At 41.6% G+C, this 16,971-nt stretch overlaps 1 protein-coding gene across 4 annotated transcripts in view, besides 1 other annotated feature; it reads right to left on the reverse strand.

Annotated features, from left to right (window-relative positions):
- AKR1C2 (aldo-keto reductase family 1 member C2) overlaps positions 1-6,947 on the reverse strand; it is a 30,226-nt gene extending 23,279 nt beyond the window's left edge. For all 4 annotated transcript variants that reach the window (NM_205845.3, NM_001354.6, XM_047424682.1 and 1 more), the window contains exon 1: positions 6,847-6,947. The gene's annotated coding sequence lies outside the window, so the exon portion shown is untranslated. The remainder of the gene's footprint in view (positions 1-6,846) is intronic.
- Positions 9,180-9,537: a transcriptional cis regulatory region, noted in NCBI's record as "candidate enhancer chr10.193 targeted for multiplex CRISPR interference". NCBI's record gives its function as "positively regulates AKR1C1 gene expression with high confidence in K562 cells {active_cell/tissue: K562}" and the evidence as "EXISTENCE:mutant phenotype evidence [ECO:0000015][PMID:30612741]".

Raw genomic sequence — 16,971 nt, forward strand, 5'->3', positions numbered from 1 at the left:
TCAACAGAGAACAGATGACCTACACAATTGGGAAAAATAATTGCAAATTGTGAATCTAATAGGGCACTGATATCCAAAATTTATAAGGAACTCAACCCAACAACAACAATAACAAGAAAACCCAAATAACCTCTTTAAAATTCATCAAAGAGCAGAGGTTTCCCAACTCCATGCCTAGGCACACCTACAGGCACTTGGTATCTGCCCACTGGATCTTCTGTCTCCCACTGGTGGAGACTCAGAAGGCTGGGAGGCTGGGAAATTATTGGGTAAATACAATGGACATTATTCTGGTGATAGCTACACTAAAAGCCCAGACCTCACCACTGTGCAATGTATCTATGTAGCAAACTGCACTTGTAAACTTTAATTTTATACAAATCCAAAAATAAAATAAATAAAACATAGTAATACCTAGACTTCACTACAGATCTAATGAATAAGAATCTCTGGTGTAGGATTTTAGCTTTTGGCAAGATGGTCTACAAAAACACAAGCAGGGCAATTTGATCTGGCTGCACGCACATTGATCCAGTTTGTTTGCTATAAGCACAGATCAATAGGTACAAGGACAAGAGACCCCAATCAGCAGAAAACCTAAAGGAGAAATTTAGAGAGAATGAGTGTAGTCTGAGGATTTCAATTTACTTTATTATGTAAGCAAATCTGAATATGTAAACCTGTGTGGGGATTGAAAGAATGGAAAGAGGAAACACGAGAGACCCAATGACTGCAACCCTTAATGAACAAGAACTTGATGAACTGATGTGTAGTGAAAATCGAAGCGTAAGAGGCTTCATTAGTATGAAGTGTGTTAAAGTTAAAGGTTCATAGAGCAGTTATAAGTACTTCTTTGTCTGTATAAGTTATAACATGGAAGTAGTTGCCTGAAGTATAATCTAGGTATGAGTAGAAACTTTCAGTTGTTGAGAATGTAAAGAACAGCAATGCTGGAGTTCTCTGCATGTACAGCGAAAAAAGATATTCACAAATCCTGGGAGAAAGGGTAAACTAAGGGAATAAAGGGACTATATCTAGAAGGGGACATATGATAGGGTATAAATGATATCAGAGCTAAGGAACAGGTTTTTATTTCATTATATCTGAGATGAAATCTAGATTTTTCAGGACCTAGTGGCTAGTGATATAGTACTTTCTATTAGCAAGGCTAGAAAATTAAGGCTTACTTGCTTCAAGTTCTCCACAAAGCTAGTACAGTAGGCTCAATACTGCTCCCTCCCCCTGCCCTGCCAATAACTCATGCCTTTATCTTTGGAAGCTGTGACTATGTTACCTTACCTGGCAAAACAAACTTTGCAGATGTGATTATGTTAAGGATCCTAAGATAGAAGCATTTCCTGAATCATCTGGATGGGCAATGTCATCTCAAAATCCTTACAAGTGGCACCCAGGAGGGCCACAATCAAAGAGGATGTGTAAGGAAAGACCCATAGGGAAGAGATCCTAAGATGCCATGCAGTTGGCTTTCAAGATAGAATAAGTGCCATGAGCCAAGGAACACATTCTCTGGAACCTGGAATGGCCCAGAATAGCATTTTCCCCTAGACCCTCAAGAAAAAATACAACCTTGTGGACACCCTGACTTTAGCCTGTTGAACGAGATTTTGGAATTCTGATCTCCAGAACTGTGAGAAAATTAATTATGGTGCTTCAGGCCACAACATTTGTGATAATTTTTTACTGCAGAAATAAGAAATGAATTCAAACGTGATTCAGCAATTCTCATCTCTCTCCTGCATCATCAATTTTTCTCTTTCTACTAGATTCTTCCTAAGAGCACATAGGCATGCTGTTTTTTCTGTCATCTCAAAGAAAATTGTCATTTGACTTCATTGTTTTCTTCAGGGACTTCTCAATTGTCTGGTGTATTTATAACCCATTCTTTGAATACCTTCTACACTTCTGTATCTAATTCTTCTCTTCCTACACTTGAATGAACCTCTATTCAGGCTGTTGCCTCTACCAATTTATCAAAATTGGGACAAGGGAGAAGATTTTGAAAAATAACTAATGAGTACTAGGCTTCATACCTGGGTAACAAAATAATTTGTAGAACAAACCACCATGGCATGAGTTTACCTATATAACAAACCTGCATGTGCACCCCCGAACTTAAAATAAAAGTTAAAAATATTGAAAATAAAAAAGTTTTGGAGACCTAAATTACATTATTTAATTCTAATTCTGAAAAATTACCTTATCTAATATTTATGAAACGATTCTGATTCTATTTCTGAACAATTACATTATTTAATATTTATGGAAAAGTTAAAAGAAATACACATAACCGTGTCATGGCTAGCCTTTGACATTTTCTTAAAAAATTAAAGCACAACATACTGAACAATTACATTATTCTAATGTAAGGAAGTATGTGAAGAGCACAAAGTCAGAAATGGCCCCAGTGGCCCTAAGGGCTCATCTGGTTGTAGGTGGGCTTGTACTTGAGTCCTGGCTTGTCTGAGGATCAGTTCCAGCAGTTAGTGATTGAAACTGGACACCCTGATGGACCTGGTTAAACCTGCATCTCTGCATTTCTCCAGGGCCTAGGAAAGAAGGAAATGGGTGTAGATCTTCGATGTATCCTGGCTTTGTTATTTGTCATTAAACCTTTTCTTTAGTGTGGTAAAATATGTATAACATACAATTCATCATTTAACCATTTTAAAACATATAGTTTATTAGCATTAAGTCCATCAACCTTATTGAGCAAGCATCACCAGTATACATATATTACAATTTTAATCATCCCAACCTAAAACTCTGCTCATTAAACAACAACTTCCCATTTCCCTTTATTTCATCCTCTGGCAACCACCATTCTACTTCCTGTCTTTGCATTTAATTATTCTAGGCACCTCACATAGTTGGACTTATACAGTATTTGTCCTTTTGTGTCTGGTTTATTTGGCTTAGTAAAATGTCCTCAAGGTTCAACCATATTATTGCACGTATCTGAATTTCCTTCCTTTTTAAAACTAAATAATGTCCCTTTGTAGACACTAAACTCTGTTTATCCTTTCATTTGCTGATGCTCACTTGCATTTTCACCTTTTGATTATTGTGAATAGAATTATTATGAATAAGGTTATCATGAATACTAACATTGCTTCAAAAACATGTTTTAGTTTCTGCTTTTAATTTATTTAGGTATTGTGAGCCCCAAATACCTGAGACATGCCCCAGTCAATTTAGAAATTTATTTTTCCAAAGCAAAACCTCTCTCCTATTGTCCAGGCTGTCCTCTGCTATGGTTACTGGGCTCGTTTTTAGCACAAAGGTCTCACTGTTGTGTTATCCTTTCCAAGTGAGCCTTCAGGCCTTTTCCTTTTATATATTTTTGCAAGAAAGTTAATGAGGCATCTCATCCGAAATGCATGCTATCATGTGTATATTTTGGCATTGGTTGAACAAGGTGTGTTGGCATCCAAACCACGCCTTCATCATTTAGTTTTCAACCTTTCTTATCTTGAATACATCCTCTGTCCTTGGTAGCCTTTTTATCCTCAAGAGGATACTGGGATTTGAAAGCTGTCAGATCTATTTGGGGAATTAAAGGTGCCTGGACCTCAGCACTGCTATTGGTTGGGTGCCTGGCTGTGCAGTCAGTGAAAGCGTTCCCTCTAGCTAGATTGGAATTCCTGTGCTGATGGCATGGACAATGTCTAACAGCTGTTTCCCTTGGGGTTGCCAATACCTCCAATAGCTCCAACATGGCTTTGCATATTTAATTTTAGTATTATCTGCCCCTTTCCTTGCAAATAGCTCTGTGTGCATGGGCTATCATGAAAGAATATTTGGAATCAGTTTAGATATTGGTTCTCTTACCTTTGGACAGATGCAAGGCTCTCATAAGGGCAATTTACTCAGCCTTTTGCACAGAAGTCCCTGTTGGGAGAGTTCTTGCAGCTATTACCTCCAAGAGAGTCACTATAGCCTAGACAGCATTCCTCCTTCTGTTGGTGACTAGGCTGCTTCTGTCCACAAAGAGCATCCAGTCTCCACCCTGGAGGGCTGTGTCCTTCAGATCTGGTCGCCTGGAAGACTCTTGATCTATAACCACTAGGCAGTTGTGTACTAGTTCCTTTGGTTGCCCAGTAGGTGTCAACAAAGTGGCAGGGTCTAAGGCTCCAGTGCCCTGTAGTTTCATTAGACATTACCTATGGTGCACATTGCAGTGTGGTTTAATGCCTTTTGAATGAGAAAATTATTTTCTTTCTTTTCTACATTTTTATAGAGGAGTTTTGTAGATAGGCAGGAGATATCATTTCTAACATTATTCTCCAGTATAAAGGAAAACATACTTGACAGTTATGTCCCAAATTAGGTAAAAGAAGACTGACATTGGATGTCCCCAGGGGCTTATAATTTCTACCTGTAGTAGCATAAATTCCCTCTGTGTTCTGTAGACACAGAACTACCCTCCCTAACACAGACTCCTCATTGGTACAGCCCAATTACATCCACTTTCCTAAGCATATGGACCCCCTATCTCTGTCAATCCCACCCCCAGTGATTCACTGAGGGAGCAATTCCAGCCCTGGGTCCCCAGACAATGTAAGGTGTTGCAAACCCCACCTTCCCATAGACGGCCAAGAGCAGAGCATGGACATATTTGATTAGTACCGAGGAAATGTGAGAATAGTGAAACTTTGCTCTGACTGTATTCTTGTGTATTAGTCCATTCTCACACTGCTATAAAGAACTAAAGAACTACCTGAGACTGGGTAATTTACAAAGAAAAGAGGTTTAATTGACTCACAGTTCCACAGGCTGTACAGAAAGTATGGCTGTGGAGGCCTCAGGAAACTTACAATCACGGAGGAAGGCAAAGGGGAAGCAAGCATATATTCACATTGCTGGCAGGAGAGAGAGAGAGAGAGAAAGAAGGTGGAGGTGCTACACACTTTCAAACAACTAGATCTCAGGAGAACCATATGATGAGAACAGCAAGAGAGAAGTCAGCCTCCATGATTCAATCACCTCCCACCAGGCCCCTTCCCCAACAGTGGGAACTAGAATTTCACATGTAATTTGGGTGGGGACACAGAGCCAAACCATATCACTCCGCCCCAGCCCCTTCCAAATCTCACATTCTTTTCACATTTCCAAAGATAATTATGCCTTCCTAACAGTCCCCCAAAGTCTTAACTTATTTCAGCATTAGCTCAAAAGTCCAATTCTAAAGTCTCATCTGAGACAAGGCAAGTCCCTTCCAACTATGAGTCATAAAATCAAAAATAGGTTAGTTACTTTCTAGATACAATGGAAATGGGGTATTGAGTAAATGCTTCTGTTCCAAAATGGAGAAATTGGCCCAAACAAAGGGGCTACAGGCCCCATAAAAGTCCAAAACCCAGAAAGGCAGTCAATAAATTTCAAAGCTCCGAAATAATCTCTATTGACTCCATGTCTCATATCAAGGCCACACTAATGCAAGAGGTGGGCTCCCAGGGTCTTGGGCAGCTCTACCTCTGTGGCTATACAGGGTAAAGGCCCCATGGCTGCTTTCACTGGCTGGCATTGAGTGTCTGCAGCTTTTCCAGGCACACAGTATGAGCTTTCAGTGGATATACCATTCTGGGTTCTGGAGGATGGTGGCCCTCTTCTCATAGCTCCACTAGGCAGTGCCCCAGTGGAAATTTTGTGTGGGAGCTCAAACCCCACATTCCCCCTCCACACTGCCCTAGAAGAAGTTCTCCATGAGTGTTCCACCCTTGCAGCAGGCTTCTGCCTGGACGTCCATGCATTTTTATACATTCTCTGAAATCTAGGCAGAGGCCCCCAAGCCTCATCTCTTAGTCTCTGAGCAGGCACAGGCTTAAAACTACATGGAAGTCACCACACATTGGGGCTAGCATCCTCTAAAACAATAGCTCAGGATGTATCTGAGGCCCTTTTAGCCATGGCTGGGGCTGAAGTGGCTGGTATGCAGGGTGCCATGTCCCAAGACTTCACAGAGCAGTAGGACCCTGGGCTTGGCCCATGAAATTATTTTTCTCTCCTAAACCTCCAGGTCTGTGATAGAAGGGGTTACCTTGAAGGTCTCTGAAATACCTTGGAGGCATTTTTCCCTATTGTCTTGGCTATTAACATTTGGCTCTTCTTTACTCATGCAAATTTCTGCAACCACCTTGAATTCTTCCTCAGAAAATAATATTTTCTTTTCTGCTACATGGCCAGGCTCAAGTTATTCAAACATTTATCTTCTGCTTCCCTTTTAAATATGAGTTCCAGTTTCAGATAATCTCTTTGGGCATGCACGTGAGAATATGCTGTTAGAGGCAGCCAGGCCACATCTTGCTTGCTTTGATGCTTAGAAATTTCTTCCATCAGATACCCTAAATCATCTCACTCAAGCTCAAAGTGACACAGATCTCTAGGGTAGGAACACGATGATGCCAATCTTTTTGCTAAAGCATAGGAAGAGTGACCTTTACTCCAGTTCCCAATAAGTTTCTCATCTCCATCTGAGAACTCCTCAGCCTGGACTTCATTGTTCATATCCCTATCAGCATTTTCTTCATAACCATTCAAGTCTCTAGGAAGTCAAAACCCTCCTTCATCTTTCCATCTTCTTCTGAGCCCTCTAAACTCTTCCAATCACACCTACTACCTATCCAGTTCCAAATTTGCTTTGACATTTTCAGGTATCTTTATATCAATGCTTCACTATTTAGTACCAATTTTCTGTATTATTTTATTCTCCCACTGCTATAAAGAACTACCTGAGACTGGGTAATTTACAAAGAAAAGAGGTTTAATTGACTCACAGTTCTGCAGGCTGTACAGAAGGCATGGCACGGGAGGCCTCGGGAAACTTACCATCATGAAGGAAGGTGAAGGGGAAGTAAGCATGTCTTCACTTGGCTGGCAGGAGAGGGAGAGGGAGAGAGAGAGAGAAGGTGGAGGTGCTACACACTTTCAAACAACCAGATCTCATGAGAATTCTATTATGAGAAGAGTAAAAGGAAAGTCAGCCCTCATGATTCAATCTCCTCCCACTAGGCCCCTCCTTCAACACCGGGAATTACAATTTGACATGATATTTCGGTGGGGACACAGAACCAAACCATATCGTTTGGTATTCCAGAATTTCTGCCTTGCTGTTGCCACCCTAACCTCTGGTGCTTCCTCTTAGCAATTTTTTCTCCTCTGACCTCACCGTGCTCTATGGTTATAAATCCCCTCTTGTCTTACTTGGAGTCAGAGTTGAGCTTCAAGGGAACCAATACATTTTGCACTAAAATAAATTTCTTTGACACATTTCAAGACAGCTATTCAGAAGGGCAGGAAATACGAGAAGAGCCAAAAAGCTGTCTTTAGTGGGAAAGACTTGCATCTGTAGAGAAAATTTGCATTGTTACAGCTGGGCTTTCTCTGAGAATCTCTCTTGGATAGAAGAAAGATTAACTGAGAATCTGATACCTTTAAAGGTCTAAAGAAAAACATTTCCCAGCTGTTCTCTCTGAGGGCTGCTTCCTGGGAGATTTCATCTAAATAATGAAACCTCGTTTGCTAGCCAGGCTTGTTCTTCTCTCCATCCCATAACCTGTGTTGCCACTGTAAAAAATTTTGCCAAGATTTAAGTGCAATGGTGCAATCACAGTGCCCTGCAGCGTTGACCTCCTGGGTTCAAGCAATCCTTCTACTTCAGCCTCCCAAGTAGCTGAGACTACAGACAGGTGCCACTACACCCAGCTAATTTTTAAAATTTTTCCTTTTAGCAGAGACAAGTTCTTGTGGTGTGTTCCAGGTTGGTCTGAGCTGAAGAGATCCTCCTGGCTCAGCCTCCCAAAATGCTGGAATTATTGGTATGAGCCACCACGCCTGGTGATCTGGCTGTTTTTCCTGCATTCTGCCTGTAATTGTTTTTTAGGGTCTTTTTCCACATGTCTCATGTTCAGAGTCTCTAAGGCACATGGTGTAGCTGAGCTGATTCACCCCTGTCCTGTATAGAGCACCATGTGGGGGAAAGTTCCTGGTCTGCTATGCCATCGCCCAGCCAAAGGAGGGCTGCCTTTGCTCTGGTTTCACATTCCTGTTTTAAACAGTCATGCCCAGAATTGCTTGGCTACATTGTGACCTTAATGAAATATCTAGTTTGTGAAGTCACAGAATTTGCTTTTCATGAAACTAGAATCTCTTTGAGTTTGGGAGTCTCACATCCCATTAGGGTCCCTCTTTTAGCACCTCACTAAGATTATTAAAATTAATTAAAACTTTTGGATGAACTAGAATGTCTGCAGAAACCTCTAGCCATTTTGCTGGTTCGACAGGATAACCTTTTTTCCACTAAAGAATATTAGTGTTAGTTTAGTGATGAGGTTAATATTCCCCATTTTTCCCCTCTCCCAACCCAAAATGTACTAGGCTGAGTGTTAAAGACCAAAGACTAATCACTTGGACAAAGGATTCCTTGTATCCCCACAAGTCCTAGGTATTTTTCTCTCATTGAGAGCAGAGGGCCTGTATTGATGCCTGGACATGGGATTTTATACCTTCTTGGCATCCAGGGTTATACAATCAATAAACAGAGATGGTATAGAAAAATCCCTTAAAAATGATGGGTCATGCCAAGACTACAGGATTTTCTTTCCTCCTGTCACTTGTTACAATGATTTTCAAGTGGAAACTTGAGTTCTGCATTTCTCAGTTTTTCTTGACTCTCAAACTAGCTAAACACTTCATTCTTCATTCTTAAGAGATTGGCACCAAATCACTTTGTCCTGTTTGGGAAATGCAGTGTTTCTCCTTTGGGTGCATTTTTGAAGACCAAGGCAAAAACATTAAAGTTCATTTTTATTTTCTGTGTGGGTAAAACATTTGATTTTACTGAACATGCTCCATAGTTACATGGCAGGATGTTTTGATTGGCATAAAAAGTAACCAAACTTCCAAATGCGAAGTAGGTCACCGGAAGAGTACAGGACTCTTTGTGAGTTGTTTTTCTCTCCAGTCCAATATTTTCCTCAACATGTTTTCTAAATAACATAGGAATTTCATTTTGGAATAAGCAAGTCATTTAAATTTATTCATAGGTATAGGAGGGTCCAGAAATGTTAAGAACATATATGATTTCAACCGTATACCTTTGCTTTATGGGATAATGTAGTCAGTTGAAAATGTTTTCTGTTGAAGCAAGTGACTGCCTCATTATTAAATAAGAGAAGAGCAGCTTGAGACGGCTGTTTGCTGAGCGATGTGTGGAGCAGGCCCATTTGCTTTCATGTATCAGACATGCCTGCTCTACCCCACCCCTCATTAAGGCACTCACATTCACCAGGCATGATCATCTAAAAGTGATTTGATAGTGTTATCTCCAACCTCCTTCTCTGGAAAATCTTGCTGACTCACAGTGACTAGGGGACTTGGGTGGCATTTTAGACCTGCCAATCACCAGCCTGGATCATTGCACCTGTTCTGAGTTGCACCGGTCTTTTACTTTAGTGCCAGGTGGTTGGAAAGAGGCCCATGAAATAGAGCTGCTCATTTTTAAATTATCCCTTTTGTTGAAGCTTTTGTTCAGGAGGCAGGAGTGGGGCCACCGGCTGTGGACCTCATGGTACACTCTTGTTTTTAAGACGTGTTACACAGGGTGAAGGAAAGCAAAATGTGCTACTCAAAATGTACTTTTCTGGCATATTTTTATATGACTATTCAGAGGGGTCACAATTCAGAGAGGCTGCCGACACACAGAAAGACCTGAAAAGCTTTCTTCTCTCGCAGAGATTTGTAAGTGCTGAGGAAATGTACATTAGTGAAGTGAACAGAGGGTAAAAGCCTTTCTCTGAGGACCCCTTTATATGCCTTATTGGATCAAAGAAAGATTAACTTCCAGGAAAAACAGACTAAGATCCTGACACTTTAAAGGTCTGTCTGAGAAGCTTCTCCACAGGCCGCCACCTGCCTTCCTGAGAGCAGCTTGGGGAGCCCCTGAGAGGCTCACATCTATGTGGGGACAGCCTTGGCTCACCATGTGTCTCTTCCACTCCCCCATTACCTGAGACTCCACCTCCCCCAGAGACCCCAAACCCCTGTTCTCTCCGTAGCCTCAGGATGTGATGAAACCCTCTGTCAACAGGAACGCCCTGGAGTCTCTTATTTGCAGGAATCTGATGTCCATGTACGTGTATACACATTTGCATGTCTTTTTATATTAACCTTTCACTTGTCAGTTTGTTTTATACACTCTAATTATCAAAACTTCAGAAGAGAGAGGGAAGAAAATGCCCTTTGTGCCTACATGGGTATCTGCATTTCCCATGCAAAGCAGAAAAGGTGAAGGAAAGTAATAAAACCCAGTCCCAGAAGTAGCAAACATGGCCCTGACAATGGCAATGAAGGAATAGTGCATGGCCTAAGATTGGTCTCCCCATGACTGAGGACCATCAGGGCCAAGTCTCTTGTCTTTCCTTCCTCCCTTCCCTTCACCCCCAACTGCACACAGCCGGACACAGGGCACAGTTTGGTAAGAGCATCTGATTAGGGAGGGTAACTGGGAAACTGTACATGAGAATGTGCATGAGTGAGGGTGAATATGTTAAGAATTGAGGGGAGGAAAACCTATCCTTCTGCAAGTCTATTTACCTATCTACTACGTTTTTATATGTTAAGACTTCTGAGAGCCTGCTGTTGGGTGTGTAGTGCGATCCTCTGGAAGGAAGTTGAGGAAGACGCTGTCCGTGCCTCACTTTCTCCTTGGGGTTACAGGAGCTTTCTCATAGACACCTGACAGGGGGATCTTCTGTATAGGACCCGCATATTTGTGCCCATTGTGCAGTAACTGATCAACACACAGAAATAGTGGCTGTTGCAGCAGAAAAGGGGTTTAATAATTGAATGGCAGACAAACGAGGAAGTAGGAGGAAACTTCGAATTCACTGCCCTGAGGAGTTTTAGACAGGGGTTTCAAGGGAATTTTGGCAGGCAGGGGGCTGAGGAGCAGGGCGGGGTGCTGACTGGCCAGGGTGTGGACTATGAAAGCCTAAGGATGTGGTAACTGCATTGTGGGGCTGAGTCAGTTCCTCAGAGGGGCCTGTAGATTGGATGGCATCTGTGGAACTGTTATAATGCATGATGCAGAAAATATCTTGAGTGGAAAACGTGAGATTTCCTACTGTTTGAGACGTTACCTATGAGGTTAGGACCTTGTGATACAGGGTACATGACTCTAAAGAGTAAGCAGTTATATGGAAGTGGGCTACAGGGCAAGCTGGTTAATGTACGCTATGCTTTCTTTCAGACTTTATGCTTTTGCTAAAAACCTAGACATTTACTTTCATTAATTTGATGAGGGTACTGTCACCTCCTCCAGTGAACACACTCATTCTGAGGGACAGCTGGGTTGCAATAACCATCAATCAACGTTGTCACAATGCTTGCATTGATGGAAAGCTTTCCTTCATCTGAACCAAAGGATTCCTCCATAGTAAGCAATAGGTCATGAGAGTCTCTGGGAAATACTCAGTGTACACAAGAAACATGTTTTGTGGTTAACAACAAAATCCTTTACCTTACTCAGGGGAAGCCTGTTGATCTCAGCACATCTTTCAGCCTTGGCACCACCCAGTAATTTCTTAGAACTTACATAAAAGCATCCAATTAAGCATAATTCTGAATATCGCTCACTAATCCTGACTCTGCTTCCTTCGCAGCTATAAAATCAATAACAGAAATGCTCCTGTTTCACTAATTTTTGTATTTTGTTTTTAGTAGAGATGGGGTTTCACCATATTGGATAGGCTAGTCTTGAACTCCTGACCTCAGGTGATCCACCGACCTCAGCTTCCCAAAGTGCTGGGATTACAGGCGTGAGCCAACATGCCCAGCATGAAATACGCTTTCATATAATTCTTGAATACTCCACTTAGAGGCCATTGCAAAACCTTTCCTGACACTCCTTCTTCCCCATCTTCCAGGATTGCATGTGTCCTGTTTCCTTGTGTGCCATGCTGTATTATAATTGCCATTTGCAGTCTCACCTTTTGTTGGCTTCAAGCTGCAAAAGTTGTAGTGATTTTTGTGTAGACAGGCAGAACTTAGCTAGTGCCTCAGCTTGGATCCTCAGTGGGCTGCAATGAAGGCATAATCCAAAAGCAGGGTCTCCCAGAAGCCTCAGTGGGGAATGACCTGCTTCCAAGGTCATGGGTGACTGGCAGAATCCAGTGCCTTCCGGGTTACTGGAGTGAAGGCCTCAGTTTCTAGCTGGCTGATGGCCATAAGCCACACTCAGTTCCTCTCAAAGTGGGCATGTCCACAAGGCAATTCATCTTATCAATGTTTGGCCAAATACAGGTTGGGCAGAACACAATAAAAATAACAAAACACCACTTAGATATCTTAATAAGCAGAAGTTCCTTATTACTTGAGACTAAACTTTTACTAATGTTGTTCTTTGGCCTGCATAGTAGAAGCAATAAAAATGAAGGGCACACAGGAAAGGGTGGCCAACATTATCCAGGGGGTCATAAAAGGACTCCTGAAACACGTGTGGCTGGATCGGGTGTATTTAGGATAAGTAAGACATCAGAAACCTGCTGGAAACAACATGCAAGCCGAGCAGGCTGTCCTAAAAAGAGGAAATAGCTGGAAGAAAGCAAGAACATAGAGATGTATTCATGATTTCAGACCAGGTTTTTTGTGCCAAGAAGATTCAAGGAATCAAGGCAAAGACAGTCACAAAATGAAATGAGGCCTTGATACAGGAGAATTTCATTATAATGAAGGTAGAAATGGGTGCTTCCAAGGAATCTCATTACATGTGTGCCTGGGACCAGGCATCTAGCTTTGTTCAGGGAATTCTCAATAAGCTGTTTGTGATGGGATTTGTGATAAAATGGATGGTGTGAGACTTAACTGAGGTCTTCTTGTAGAATCAATGTCTAGAAATGACCAATTTAACAATCAGGTTGTATCTTGTAAAGTAAGTCCTATATCCTTATCAAAGACAGGTTGGAATATTTAATACTTCAACTTAAGTGTCAAGAGTGAACAATGCCTAGAAGATCATTCAAAATCCTCTCTCAGGATACCATTTCTGTATGTTCCTGTAAGATACACCTGCACAGATAGGAAGAAATTGAAAAAAAGGCAATAGATTAATTCCAGCTTCATTTGGAATCACTGGCAGTTGTAATATGAGCTCTTCCTACATTGAAGTTGGTGGAAATAAAGAATGTGGGAGCCTTATTTTCTACTGGGATCTCACAGAGGAAAAGGAGGAAAGGCAGATTAGCTTGGGCCGATGACGGATCTGAAGCACAGCCATCCCATGAGGCTGAATGGTGGACACTTCATACGGGTGCTGGGATTTGGCACTTATGCTCCTGAAAATGCAAGCGGACTCCGGGGTCTGAAGGGTCCTAGATCAGCTGTCCTTGCAGGGTGGTCAGCAGGCAGGAGCCCTGCACCTGGTTGACAGTGGGTACTTGGAAGGGCCACTCTGAGCTTCCATTTCACTGTCTCTAACTTGCCTCTCTCTAGGTCACAGAGATCTTTTTTTGCACGAAAGTGACGTGACAAGCTCATGACTATGAGGATTCAGAGGTTGATAATTTTGTGGGTAGATTATATTTAGTATTATTGTTATTATTATTATTAATGTTACCTAACTAATGTCAAGTGCTTTCTGTGTATTTTAAGTATTTTACATAGTTTTAAAATGTAATCTCTTAACAACTCTTCTGTATATGTACTGTTATTATAACATATTTCTTACATTTTCACAGTATAAGTTCAGGCTGCTATCATCTTCCACCCTGGTCAGAGCCACTCAACTCAACTCTTGGTTAAATATGAGAATGGCAAAGATTCTGCAAGTAAATGGAAGCCAACATGAATACTTGGTGGCACCTTTACTGTGAGATTGTTGGGGCTGGAAGTGGGAATATCAACCATCTAAACCTTTTCTCATGTAAGAGGTTACTGTGATACCAAAAATTAGATAATGAGGAAGGATGGCTTAGGAGGCATAAAGTCACAACAGAGACTGGATTGTGCTTGTGTGGTCCAAGGCTCTTGGCCCCCTAAAGAATCACTGAAAATCAATGACGGATGTTGCTTTGGAGAGATTGCACCCAAAATGACAGAGACCAATGTGCTCAGTCTTGGTAGAACTATGACATGAGAGATCACCAGATAACAGCTGTCAGACAGAACCAGCTTCTTTTCAATGGTATAATTGTCCATCTCATCCATCGTGAAAACTTAAGCATAAGTTAAGCATAAGTCTTACATACATTATGTCCACCTTTTATTACTGTTGTTAACTACAAAACAGAGCTAAAGAGAACAGAACAGAAAGTCCCACAATTTCCTGGCTGACAAAAATAAAATTAATACATGTGTGCTTAAAGTTCATGCAGTAAAAAAAGTGGGAAGTGAAATAAAAACCTCCTCAACACTCTGCATTTTCACCTGGGGCATTGCAGGAACAGGAAGCAGGTCCAGTGTGCACTGTGGGTTCTTTTGTCCTGCAAGTTTGTTTTCTGGGAAGCTCACAAGCACAGACTCTCAGATTGAGTCATTAATCCACTCCCTGTTTGAAATTTGAGGGACAGTATGCACTTGCTGTGGTCCTGACTTTGCCCACAGGCAATGCCAGCTTGATGAGATAAGGTCTGTGCCATGGGTGAAACCAGCTGGTCACATGCATGTGAGTGGCTCTTGGGCTTCTGCTTCTGCATCCAGCTGCTCTTGCTGTGATATGTCCTGGATCTGGCTGCAGTGTTCCTCCCTCTCAGATCTTCCACAGAGGTTCTGCTGCTGCTGAGCAGGACACAGCCTTGCATAACCCCCTGCATGAGACACCAGCGCATTGGCTTTCGTTGCTTCTAGGCTGAGAAGTCAGGCACACAGGGGGCAGTCAATAAATGCCTGTGGCATCAATGTGGAAAAAAGTACTTGAGAATGAAGGATAAAAAGAATCATAAATGATCTGTAGGTCTCAGCTGGTTGGAAACTAGGAAGTTTGGGTGTTATGGACTCATTTATTATTGTTAGCCAAAAATAGATGCTGTAATGTGTATGTGTGTGTGCCTGTGTGTATATGTGTTCGGGTGTACTAGTGTGTATGCATATGCAAGTGTGTGACTGTGTGTGTGTATGGGTGTGTACCTGTGTGCATGCCTCCATGTACATGTGTGTACCTGTGTGTATGTGTGTGTGTGCCCTAGGATTGTTGGAATGGTAAATCAGCATCATACCTAGGAATACAGATAACCATGGAGGGGAAATATCTCTACCATGAGAATTACAAAACACTGCTCAAAGGAAATCAGAGATGACACAAACAAATAGAAAACCATTCCGTGCTCATGGATAAGAAGAATTAATATTGTTAAAATGGCCATACTGCCCAAAGCAATTTACAGATTTAATGCTACTCCCATCAAACTATCAATGACATTCTTCACAGAACTAGAAAAAAACACTATGTTAAAATTTACGAGGAACCAAAAAAGACTCTAACAGCCAAGGCAGAACAAATGTGGAGGCATTAAATTACCCAACTTCAAACTACATTGAAAAGCTACAATAATGAAAACAGCATGACACTCGTACAAAAACAGACACATGGATCAATGGGACAGAATAGAGAGCCCAGAAGTAATGCTGCACAACTACAATCATCTGATTTCTGACAATTAATAAAAACAAGCACAGGGGAGGGGACTCTCTATTCAAGTGATTGGTACCTGGGTGACAAAATAAGCTCTACACCAAACCCCCATGACATACAATTTACAAACCTGCACATGAACCCTGAACCTAAGAAAAAAGATAAAAAAAGACTGCAATCCAGTATTGATGGACAGTAAAGCAATGTAGCTACTGTCTTTACGGATTTCAGGTGTTTCTATCTATTGGGAGACTGCCTTTCTCTGGCACCCATTGCAACCAATTATTATTTTAGAGAGACAGGTTAACGACTGCTTGACCATCACCTGATGGTCACCTGATATTCCTGGGGAGGGCCACTCTCATGCCCTGCTCATGTCTGACTAACTACCTACCTCAATACTCCAAGACCCAGTTCTTGGGGAAAATGGACAAAGGTCAGGCGTCTATAACTGCTTCCTACTGACAGAGGGGTGGTGAAAGTTGTCCTGTGGGTTTTGGCCTCTTGATAACTGTCAGGACAGAGTGGCTCTGTGGTTTGGTGAAAGTGCTATCCAGGTAGGTCGAAGGGAAACACAAACAGGATTTTTCCTTTGTTGTGTTCTACTGATGGGCAGCCTAGTGGTCTTCTATAGAAGGGTGACTCCTGAGTATTTAGAAGATGGTATCCTCACTGAGGATAATTTGGAGCTTGAAGGTCCATCTCTCTAGTTTCTTCTGAGCTGTAGCCAGAGATCACTGGTTGGTTCATGGAATAGGCAGGGTTAGTCTAAATTGCAGATAAAAATACAAAAACTACTGTGGAGACTAGACTCTAATAACAGGTGTACCACAGTTCTTGAAACATCATTTTTCCCCCTACAGTCCTCATTTTTATTACAAATAAATCATGATAGGACTCATTTGTTTGCAAAATAAGCTTTAGCCTTATTATACTTGGCTTGATTATCTGCATAACACACAGCAAGAATAACTATTTACCATTTAGGCTCCTTTTTAAATTGGCTTTGATGAAACTTTGTTCCATAAGGAATCTCAGATAAGACTTTTTCAAACCTTAAGCCCAGCCATGGGTGTGTGCTATCAAATACCTGCATGATTTGGCTAAATTCCTCTCCTCTTGAGGTCCCAAGACAATTTGAAGCTCCTGGGCCTGTGAGAAAGTGACATTCTTTATTTTCCATGGGTGGCAAACTGTGTAAAGGGACTGTGTAGACAAGGCATGAGGGCATTTTTCCAAAGAGCTATTTTTCGCTCTATAAGTCAAGTTTGATTCCTTAAAGGAAAGCACATCATTCCAGTCAAAACCTTGGTAAAATAAGCAGTTTC

The sequence above is a fragment of the Homo sapiens genome, chromosome 10 (assembly GCF_000001405.40).
Source record: "Homo sapiens chromosome 10, GRCh38.p14 Primary Assembly".
NCBI classification, from domain to species: Eukaryota; Metazoa; Chordata; class Mammalia; order Primates; family Hominidae; genus Homo; species Homo sapiens.